Source organism: Homo sapiens, chromosome 3, assembly GCF_000001405.40.
Source record: "Homo sapiens chromosome 3, GRCh38.p14 Primary Assembly".
In the NCBI taxonomy this organism is placed as follows: domain Eukaryota; kingdom Metazoa; phylum Chordata; class Mammalia; order Primates; family Hominidae; genus Homo; species Homo sapiens.
In genome coordinates, this window is record NC_000003.12 from 4,395,184 (window position 1) to 4,407,350 (window position 12,167).

General features: G+C 41.5%; 1 protein-coding gene across 12 annotated transcripts in view, besides 1 other annotated feature; it reads right to left on the reverse strand.

Annotated features, from left to right (window-relative positions):
* SUMF1 (sulfatase modifying factor 1) overlaps positions 1-12,167 on the reverse strand; it is a 432,784-nt gene that overhangs the window by 360,698 nt on the left and 59,919 nt on the right. The window lies entirely within an intron of this gene.
* Positions 4,382-4,676: a silencer, noted in NCBI's record as "tiled region #14120; K562 Repressive non-DNase unmatched - State 23:Low". NCBI's record gives its function as "represses a minimal TATA promoter and a strong SV40 promoter by Sharpr-MPRA in K562 cells {active_cell/tissue: K562}" and the evidence as "EXISTENCE:reporter gene assay evidence [ECO:0000049][PMID:27701403]".

The following is a 12,167-nucleotide window of genomic DNA, read 5'->3' on the forward strand; positions in this document are numbered from 1 at the left end:
GGAGTCAAAGTCCATCACACTGTGGCACCTGCAGGCTTATCTCACCCCCGTGCCTAACCAGATAGAGTATCTTCTAGGTTCAGCAGCATCTCTACCCAAAGTACATATTTGTGAAAAATACAGTCAAAATACCAATAATTTGTATTTTTTTTTACCTAATGTCCAACGTGAAAAAATATTTTAAGAGTGAGCAGATGAAACCATTACTTCAAATAAAGCTTTTTGAATTATGTTTAATTTTATTTATCTCTGGGGACAAGGACCAATGAAGAAGGGACTGCAATTAGCATTAGCCTCTCCTGCATGAGAGGAAAAGGTGACGCCCAAAGAAAGGTCAAAGAAAGAAAACTAGAGATCAAATTGGAAAGAAGAGCGCAGTAAAACACACGAATCAAATTAACAACCTCCACTGTATTTTCTCTGTAAAACCAGCATGCCATTGTGGTGATTACCATTTTAGTGAAATGAATGAAAACAGTCATTTCCTCCATGCTACTTGTTTCACCCACACCAGATTAGAAACGAAGAGAATTTTTGAAATTGTATTACACTTGCTTATACCACGGTGGCTCCTGATTTTCCAATAATATAAGTCACTTTCAGACCCCAAAGTCTATGGTAACCGTTCTTGCTCCTGGAGTAATACATGAAATCAGGTATTTAAAATACCAGTCTACTTGTAAAATAAATAGCACATAAATAAACAATAGCAGCTAATATTTACCAAGCACATTACAGTTGGATATTGTTTTCTATATTTTTAGTCTTCCAAACAAATTTTTGATACAGATTCTCTTATTGGTATGGCAGACATATAATTGACCATCCAAATAAGGATACTTTAGAGATTGAAAGGTGGAACTATTAACACTTGTGCTAGGCACAGATATAAACCAGGAATGTTTGGACACCCACTCATTGGCCTTATTTTACAGCTAAAGAACTAAGGAACAGAAAAGTTGAATAGTGTGCCCAAGGTCACGCAGCTAGAAAGCAGAGGAGCTGGGCTGAAGGCCAGGATGTCTGGCTTCAGCATCATAGTCGGCCATTCTGCCATGTGCCCCTTCTGAACTAACTCATAGACTGTAACATTTTTCGAATAAATCATTCGACTATTCTAGTTTCAGACACACAAACCTCTCTATAGTTCACGAGTTCCACAAGGCCATAAAAGCACACAATAAAAAGTCTTACAAGAGATTGCAAATAGAAAGTGTCTGCAAAATAACCTGCAGAGACTCCACAGGATGAGCCCAGGCAGGAGGCATCACCACGGGACCTACCGCACAGGCCAGGTAGTTGGGAGAACCAGTATCTAGTCTGGGCTCTATCCTTTCCCTTCTGGCCTGAGTTCCCTCACTTGTGCTCCTCTAGAGACCTTATAGGGTCCTTCCCCACCAACCATTTGATGTGAGCTGGTGGACACATGTCCAAATCCTTTTATCTTGGAGCTTCTCCATCCCAAATTGTTTCACTTCCTTCAAGGAACTTCCCATGGTTTCTTGCTGAGGTGTGAGATAAGCAACTACAATCTTCTTTGAGGTGCCTCATTCGAGGGCCTCAAGTTTTACAGCCTCTCTCCCCACTGAGAGACAGGAAGGAGAGAGAGTAGAAAAAAGAGTGAGGCCCCAGGAGAATGATTAATTCTCTGACCTATATAACAGTAGATACATATGCTCTGTTTAAGAAGCATGAATTATTATAGCTGTGAAACACAAGGCTATAAAGCATCTATGTGCTGAAAACCAGTCAACCTAAACACAGAAGAAGCAACTATTAAGAGAAAACACATATCACATTAGATTTCTGCAACAAAGAAGAAACTTTCTCATCATCTACTGGTAGTGGTAGACTGCCAGATGGAATGCAGTAGACTGCTAGATGGAATTAGCCTCCTAATAATGCAGGTGGTTCTTTAACTTCAGAAAGTGTAACACACTAATATGCAACACAAAGGAACATGCCTGCTCTATCCAATTTCAGATGGATTAGATCTAAATTATAGAGAAATCCGTTTGTTTTATCCTAAGCAATGCATGTTATACAGCAGCATCATCCTAAATGCAAAGGCAACTTCTAGGTCAACTAAAACCAAACCACCACCAACACAGGGTACAGACTACATTCACTGAAAGATTTGCTCCAGAATCAATCACTTATATTGCTTAGAATAACTGTATAAAACTGTCAGTCCTGAGTGCAGGGCCGCATATGGTTCTAAGTATTACTTGAAGTGAGAAAAGTAGACACGGTTTAGTCTCACTAGGGATCTATCACATTCTTTTATTCTCACAATCTTCTGTGTTCTTCAGTGACAATTCATTAGCAAGTTATGAGAGAATAAAGCAATTAGCTTATACCAAATGGCATTTTCACTTAACCATTATTTTCAGAGAACCACTTGAAGACTTCCATGATTTTATTTGGACGTTTTGAAAGTGGATAAGTGCTAAGTGCCCAATTCTGTATGTTCTGCTGCTTGATTAGATGCCATGTTTACTTCCTTTACTGAGTATAAAGTGGAGACTGTCCATGGAAAGAAGTGTTATTTATAATTGCATGCTACCAGATGGCCTATCTCCTTTCCACATCCCTAAAAAGGTCCAAAAAAATGTCTTCCATGGATTAGATTTCAGAGTAAGGTATAATTTCATAGCTTGCTAGCTTATTTCATTTGAATTTTCATTACACGTAAAACATAATACTCATAATTAACATATATCAAATGTTTACTACATGACAGCCTCTACCCTAGACATTTTCTCTGTAGCATCTCCTTGAAACCTCCAATAATCCCATAAAGGGTATTACTATTTCCTCACTTACAGATGAGGAAGCTGGGTGAAAGGTTAACTAACTTGCTCCAGGTTATTCAGCTAGTAGGTGGCTGAGCTATGACTTAAATCCAGGTCCCACTCCAAAACTGCATGCTTTTAACCATCATGCTATACTTCCTCCTTAATTTTATACTTTTATAGCAATAAATGTATATGTATGTAAACCCACCGAGGTGGGTTTGCTTGCTCTTTTAACATCTGCAAGCTCCTTAAGAAAAGAGGATTGTGTCTGTTAGATTCCCAGAACCCAGCATACAAATCTGGCATTCAGTAGCTTGCCAGTAAATTTTGCTGAATGGACAGAAGTATACCCTTACATAAAACTTCTACGTGTGGATATGCATATTCCTATATTAAAAAGGCATCCACACATCCACATGAAAAAAATCACAGCATAATTTGGTAACAAAAAAAGATAACTTAACTATATATTTTCTCTTCTTAATAACCTGGTTTTATTTCCAGATCCTTAGAGAAAGAACAAATGAGTCATACTATGACATGGGGAAGTCACTAAAAGTAAGCTATAGGAATGGGAAATGGCACTATATTACTTTACAGCTCATTAACAAGTCAGACGTCAGATACAAAAACTAGCTTGCCAAATCAATAATTTTTAAAAATAATTTAATGGAAATAAGAGGTTAGGAAGGTAAGAAGGACAAGAAACTGATTTAAAATCTCAAGAGATCAAAAACCATAGGAAAAATTCACTGCCTCCCACTTGCTTTTGGAAGAAGCCACTGTATGACATAGCGATTCCCATCTCTTAAATTATCTTTATATTTATAACAAGTCTTGAGATGCCTGATTTAACATATGTGGCTTGTGACAAAATACTACTACAAGGAAATAAGTAGCTTTTCATGTTTTGTATTTGAAATAACATCTGGAATCCAGTAAACATTAACAAGTCTGGGGATCAGAAGATCTGGGATTTAATCTTGACTGCAAATCAAGTTCAAAATCCGGGCCAAAGTCAAAACCTCTAGAGCTCCACACCATAAAAAATGAGTCCAAGACCACATCTTCTTTTTTGCATAATCAGGAATATTTTGAGGATATGAGAACGAGAGGGGGCGGAGGGATGGGGAAAACGCATGCGTGAACACTTCGAGCTCTTCAGGGGAGAAAAGTCCCATACAAATGCAAAGCTTTAAGACATTGACTTTACTCCTCACTCCTCGTTTTGTTCACCCCAGAAGCACAGCAGTCTGGAGTAAAGTCAGGACTATATTATACAGGGATGCAGGGTCTGAGGCATATATCTTCTTTTAACCCGAAACACATTTCACCCTAAAAATCTATAAAGCTACAGTGGGGAAGGGCTTGGGGGCCATCTTTAAGTTGACGGAGACCACTCTTCCCCCCCAAACCATTTGTGATGACTCAGGAGTACTGTGGGAAAACTCTTTATGAACATGGACTACTCTATGTGAGAAAATGTAAAGAAGAGAATTATTGAGTTGGAATATATATGTTTATTAATCTTTGCTTACAGCCAAGAGTGATGAGACAGAGCCCTATCTGAAAATATTAAGCAGCAATCACAGGCTGAGACAGTGCGGGAACATTTAGGGTTAACTGTAATTCACTGCCAAGAAAAAACAATCTGTCCAGGGAGAGCCCAGGTCATGAAAAAGATGGAAAGGAAGGCCCACGGAAGTGGAAGACAGGATGCCAACTCTGGCAGAGTCTGGCCCTCAAAACAGTGCGTAAATTTCCTTTCTTTTCTTTTCTTGTTTTTCTTTTTTTGAGACAGAGTCTCGCTCTGCCATCTAGCCTGAAGTGCAGTAGCGCGATCTCGGCTCACTGTAACCTCTGCCTCCTAGGTTCAAGTGATTCTTGTGCCTTAGCCTCCCAAGTAGCTGGGACTACAGGCCCGTGCCACCACACCCAGCTAATTTTTGTATGTTTTAGTAGGGATGGAGTTTCACCATGTTAGCCAGGCTACGTGATCCGCCCACTTCACCTTCCCAAGATGCTGGGATTACAGGCGTGAGCCACTGCACCCAGCCGAGAGCCTAAATTTCTGTTCTCGATTCATACCTCAAACCACACCAAGACAAGAGATAAAATTCCTCAAGCAACCGACCCAAACTGGGGGCCGAATTCTACCTGAATTCCCAGAGTACCCCTCCTCTGCCCAGAAAAGCTGCTCAGACATGGCCTGCCAGCTGTGGATGCAACTAAGGGAGCCAAGAAAGACAGGCTTTCAAGCCCTCACCCTGAAATTTCCCCATGGCCTTTCCAGGTGAAGAAAAGTATAGGAAAGGAATAAACAATCTTTTGATTGAAAGAAATCCAAAAAACCCGGGCTTTGGTTCTGGCTTCCTAAGCATCAGTGGAGCAAAAGTGCCTATTACCATGGAAATGATAAGAAACCACCATTAGGAATTCTGAGATTCAAATTCTCTGGAGGCAAGGACTGCGTGATGTTTATGTTTGCCACTATCACACAGCAGGTGCTCAAAAATGCTATTAAACAAATGAAAGAAAAATAACATAATCTGGTCTACTAAACAACAAGAGGCAATGCTGAAGGGGAAAGGATTTTCCAAAGGGAGATGTTCCAACCAAGAGGCGCTTAGAAACCGTAATCTGCTCTCATTTACCAAGTGCTTGCTGTGTGGTGGGCACAGTGAGTTAACCTCTCTTTTTAATCCTCAGAACAGTTCAATATTGTTGAATCTTACTATTACTCCATTTTATAGACAAGGAAACAGAAGCAAAGGATTTCACCCCCTGGCCCCAAGATAGCAGAGCTGGGATGTGGACCTAGATGGAAATCATTTTATTTTATTTTTATTATACTTTAAGTTCTAGGGTACATGTGCACAACGTGCAGTTTTGTTACATATGTATACATGTGCCATGTTGGTGTGCTGCATCCATTAACTTGTCATTTACATTAGGTATTTCTCCTAATGCTATCCCTCCCCCCTCCCCCCACCCCACAACAGGCCCTGGTGTGTGATGTTCCTCACCCGGTGTCCAAGTGTTCTCATTGTTCAACTCCCACCCATGAGTGAGAACATGAGGTGTCTGGTTTTCTGTCCTTGTGATAGTTTGCTAAGAATGATGGTTTCCAGCTTCATCCATGTCCCTACAAAGGACATGAACTCATCATTTTTCATGGCTGCACAGTATTCCATGGTGTATATGTGCCACATTTTCTTAATCTAGTTTATCACTGATGGACATTTGGGTTGGTTCCAAGTCTTTGCTCTTGTGAATAGTGCCACAATAAACATACGTGTGCATATGTCTTTATAGTAGCATGATTTATAAGCCTTTGGGTATATACCCAGTAATGGGATCGCTGGGTCAAATGGTATTTCTAGTTCTAGATCCTTGAGGAATTGCCACACTGTCTTCCACAATGGTTGAACTAGTTTACACTCGGTGGAAATCATTTTAAAAACACCCTCTTAACCATGTTACTGTCAGCTGCAGCCTCCATCACTGCCTACTTTCCAAGCAAGCAGCAGACCCAAGGGCAGTTCCCCGGATTTACTGTACCCGTGGGAATGGCTTGCTACATCCTCAGCACAACTTACAGATGAAGCACTAAGCCTACAAGGGTGACATGACTCACCTAGGGCCCCACGACATTTTAAAGCTAAATCTCAGATGGAAACCCAGGCGACTGACCTCACTTTCATCACTTAACCATGGCTCTGTTATTCAGCACAGCAGAAAGAACTTTACTGAGAATGACAAATAACCACACTAGCAAACTCTCTGCTCTTTTCTTTTAATGGTTCTGTGATAAGCCCAACCCATCCTGCTGAACTGCTGCCATCCCAATCTTATAGCATATGGCTCTCCCTTCCCAGGAGCGTGATACACTGTGAAAAGGTAACCAATAAAAGCCCCTTTCTTGAGCACACTGAAGTAAGGAAGACAGTTTACAAGTCACTCTCCAAAGCCCCTAGCTGGTAAGCTTAAGGAAATTCTTGAAACAGCTCTACTGCTCCATAAGAAGTAGGAAAATATGTTGCAGAAAAACAAGAAGAAAGAAGTGCGCACACACACATGCTCCCCTCACTGCATTTACTTTGGGTATGGAAAAGTCATCACACTTCAGGGCTAAGGGCAAGTGGAGGGCAGCTATGGCTCAGGGCACCGATTAGGCATTTACTTAAGAAACTAAAAGAAGTGGGGAAAGAAAGAAGAAAATCCTTTCACCACTTACCCTGAATTCCTCAAAAGGCTGGACCCTGTCTTCTTCATCTTTGGATCCCATGGACCTATCATAGTTACCTCACCAATTGCTGCCATCCTTTCTAAAGGTACCTCCTCCAAGAAGCCTTCACAGCTCCAACTGGTAGAGAACAGAGGTCACCAAGGCTCTACCTCAATCATATCCATAACAAATCTTAGCATAGTGCATCTTGATTCATCTGATTGGCACTCAATCTTTCCTCAACAAACTAGGAGCTTCTTAACAGCAAGACTGGTGTTTCACATACCTGTATCCCAAGAGTAGATATAGCCCGATACTACAGTGGATACTCAGGAAATGTAGGCTGACTCCAGTGCTACAGGGCTTTGCCTTGGGCCCTGTCCCATTCATACTATATCAATGACTTTAAAACAACCAAATCTGTTGGTGATAATAAATTGGAAGGGAAAGCGACCACCATCAAAGACAGCACTGATAGCCAGAATGATTTCTATAAGCTGTCTCTCAAGGTTGAAACCCATAAACAAAATAAAATCTCATGGAGAGTTGAGATAGGCATTGCATGAAGTTTCAAAATGCACATACAAAACAGAAAAGATTCCAAATTTTTAAAATCATTTTGTAAAAAATAACTGCATGTAAAAAATAGCTACATAAAAAAAATCGCTGTGTAACAACATTTGGGGAGACCTAGCCTGAGATCAACACGGGAGAAAAATGCAAGTTTTATTTGGCTACAAGCTTAACGGGAACCATCAGTGAGATACTGTTCTTCATTACTACTGCAGCTGCTACTCACAGTAACAGTAGGCGTGCCTGTAGTACCAGTAGGATAGCACTGACAGCAATTAGGATGGAAGCTACCATGTATCCCATGCTATCTGCCAAACATGGTGCTAAGTCCCATACTACACTCTCTCACTTCCTTACAACTCTATGAAGTAGAAATCTTCATCCCCATTTAAGAAGAAAGTAAACTGAGTCTCTGAGCAGTTAAGTGACTTGCACAGGGTCACACATCTGGGAAGCCACAGTTACAGTGACAAGATTCAAACCCAGCCTGATTGGCATCCACTAACCAAACTCTTAACTGCGGATGTAATCTGAGACCTGATGAGAAAGAACGAATAAAAAAAGGATAGCTCCACTATTATTTGCATCTATCAGACAACATCTAGAATGCTGTGTATAATTCTGGGTGTCCATTTATAAAAAAGGACATTTTCCCCCAATTCATGTTATTCAGAGGAATGTAACTGGGTTGCCCTGAATTGCAAACCCAGTTATCCCAGGTGCAGCAGAAGAATGGGAATGCTTATCTAGAAACAGAAAGATGGGTGGGGCAGGGGAGACGCGACAACTGTTCTTAGGTATCTGAAGAGCTTGTCTGTACAAGGCAGAAGGAAGATACATTCTTATTCTCAGCAACAGCAGAATGAGGGCCACTGAGTTGACACTTCAAGGAGGATTTGAGTTGGACAGAGGAAACTTCAGTGAGAACATCTGACAATGCAGTAAGTTGCCCCAAGTGTTGGAGAGTTACTGTTCACCAAGAAGCTTTTAGCAAGAGGCTGCAGGACCACAGCTGTCAGGGGTATCAAAGAAGGAATTCCCACAGGGGGAGAGGTTAGAGGAGGTTTCCATTTCCCACCTTTCAGATCCACTGACCCTCCAAACTAAGGAGGCCATGGTACATTTTGGTGTTCTGCTCTCTTTGCTCAGGAAGAATCAGTAGTTGTAACATGAGGCTCTGAGGGTCATTTTGTCCTGAAGTGGAAACAAACGGTATTTCTAACATTGTCCAAATGGTAACTGGAATTAGAATTCGCTCTTTTCAAGCAAGAAGCATATGTCTGGATAACGTGTTTGAAATGTGTCTGCAGGATCTAAATATCTGAACCATACATTTGAGTTTATTTCTATTTCTCAATAGTTCTATTTTACTGGATGAAGAACCTTGCAACTGATCCACAGTGAAAAATTACAATGAGTAAACATTAGTACTTCCTCCAGAAGACATTCATCTTCCACTAGGGAGAAGGAGATAAAATTATTTTCCCAAGCATAGTCCCAAAAGGCTGATATTTTGATCACCTTGCTTTCCCCTTGGCACTTACTCTGTATAACTTGTAGCTGTATTAAATTTATTATCAGGTGAACTTCATTATCACTTTCGTGCTTTTTTTCATTTTGAACATTAGGTTAGTTCTCTATCAAACTGATTTATTCATGTCCTCAGAATGTCCTGATTAAAAACATGTGAGTGGGCCAGGTGCAGTGGCTCATGCCTGTAATCCTAGTACTTTGGAAGGCTGAGGCGGGTGAATCACCTGATGTCAGGAGTTCGAGACCAACCTGACCAACATGGCGAAACCCCGTCTCGACTGAAAATACAAAATTAGCCAGGCGTGGTGACACATGGCACATGCCCGTAATCCCAGCTACTTGCGAGGCTGAGGCAGGAGAATCGCTTGAACCCAGGAGGTGGAGGTTGCAGTGAGCTGAGATAGTGCCATTGCACTCCAGTCTGGGCAACAAGAACGAAACTCCGTCTCAAAAACTCAAAACAAAACAAAACAAAAAACACATGAGTGAAGGTCTTATAGCAGCGAAAAATTCTCAATCAACTTCCTCCCCCAGCCCCCAGCACATACTAGGTACTCAATGAATGCTTGCTTGAAATGATGAGGCTGTTGATGGGACCATCAATGGGTATGAAAGTCTTAACTAAGGAGAAAGATGATATGATATTTACCGGTTTTTGCCAGACTGAGAAAATGGCAGTCTCATCGCCTGGGCAGAGGAGGATCAGGAGGCAAGCTAAGTAACAGTCTCATGTTTCTGTTGCACACTGAGACACAGTGGTGGGAGGCCAGAGGATCACAGGGAAGGGGAACAATCAAGTGTGGAGTTTAGAGGATCTAAAAAACTACTGTGAGTCCATGCCCTAAGTCCTATCATGCAATGGCAAAGAAGTATCTGAGTGGGGTCAACAAGTGTGGCATCTGCAAGCATGAGTATACATGCTAATCTCTGGCCAGAGAACTGGTATGTGCCCCAAATGTACTTAATGTGCTATGTGTGGATAGGCAAGAGCTCAGAGGGGTGGCCTCTGCACACCACAGGAGACAGACAAGGAGGGCTTATCCCAGGTCAATTCTATTTTTTGTGTGTATTTTGTTTGTTTTATTTTTTGAGACTGGGTCTGGCTCTGTCACCAAGGCTAGAGGGCAGTGGTGTGATCTCAGCTCACTGCAACCTCTGCCTCCCAGGCTCAAGCCATTCTCCCACCTCAATCTGCCGGGTAGCTGGGACTACAGGCATGTGCCACCATGCCCAGCTAACTTTTTGTGTTTTTTGTAAAGATGAGATTTTGCCATGTTGCCCAGGCTGGTCTCAAACTCCTGAGCTCAAGCGATCCTCCCACCTCAGCCTCCCAGAGTGCTGGGATTACAGGCATGAGCCACTGCACCCAGCATATCCGAGGTCAATTCCATACATCAAACAACCCTGAGAAACAGAGGACACTTTCCAAAATGTGTCTAGAGCTATACAATCTATTAGACAATCAAATTCCACATTAACAGAAGCAAAACAAACTGAATCTCTGGCTAAAATGTGGTAAGTAGCAGAGATTCATTCAGAGGAGGAATACATTTTGGAAACTTTGATCTGACTGGGCTTTGATGATCCAGGAAGCATAAGCAAAGTTTTCATGGAGAGAATGAGTATGTGATAAGCCAACAAAAGGTAAGGGTAAGAGGAATATCAGCAATCACTATTTATAAATATTGTTTTCTTTCCCTCTGCTTCTTTTTTTCTTTTTTCCCTGCCTCGCCCCACACCGCCCGCCCCATGCTTCTAAAGGCCAGCGTTTCTCATTAACTCGGCTGATGGAAGTAAGCAATATTATAATTAGATAGCCAAAACATAATATAAACAAAAACAGTAAAATAACAACATTCCTCTGAAAGTGATATAAAGTTTGCACATACAATGACAAATTAAATGTCACACAATTTCATCCAGTATAATTATTTCTAATTTGTAGACAAGGAAACTGAAGATATATTCTACATTTAGCAGTAGTCCTTTAATATTAAGTGGCAGAGCTGTAATCCAAGTTACTTTGGTTTATTCCAAAATTAGAGTTCTTTTCCTGACAGCCAAGTGTGATGGCTCACACCTGTAATCCCAGCACTTCGGGAGGCGGAGGCAGGTGGATCACCAGAGGTCAGGAGTTCAAGACCAGCCTAGCCAACATGGTAAAGCCCCGTCTCTACTAAAAATACAAAAAAATTAGCTGGGTGTGGTAGCACGGGCACCTGTAATCCCAGCTATTCGGGAGGCTGAGGCTGAAGAATTGCCTGTACCTGGGAGGCGGAGGTTGCAGTGAGCCAAGACTGTGCCACTGCACTCCATCCTGGGTGACAGAGCAAGCCTCCATCTCAAATAAAACAAAATAAAACAAAAACAAAAGGAGAGTTCTTTCTCTGAGAAAAAGAAGCCACCTAAATGCAATTGTGTCCCTCACAGAGAGGGAAAGATATCACAGATCACCCCATCCTGTCACATCATCAACTGAACAAGTCAGCATGGTACCTTGGTACTGAAAGTGAGTATGCAGATGTGGGAAATTAGAATGTTATATAACCTCTACATATTTCTTTAACTGAAAGCACTACATAGCACCACAGATTAATATCCGTCTCAGACTTAGGCAACTGAAAAGCAAATAACCACAAACTACATTTTCAAAAACCACATTATGATTGGGTTAAGATACATCACAGCACTGGCCATTTACTAGGTTGTATCTGTGAGGAGGGGAATGAGGCCATCTAAATGTGGCACCTCCACAGGACACACACATGGGACACACACACACACACACACACACACACGTTAACACCAAGCTGACCTTTTTTTCCCATGGCCAAATACCTCATCTTCTCTCAGATGTGTACAAAGCACACATGGCTGTTTCCACAACCTGCTTTTGCCATAAATGACTGCCCAATAAAATAAAAACTAATGATTAACTTTTGCTCCCTGGAAATCACTGAAAAAGAAAAATATATTTCCTGAATAGCCTTTGCATACAGGGCACTGACTATTCCCAAGCTCTCTGAAGAAGCTTT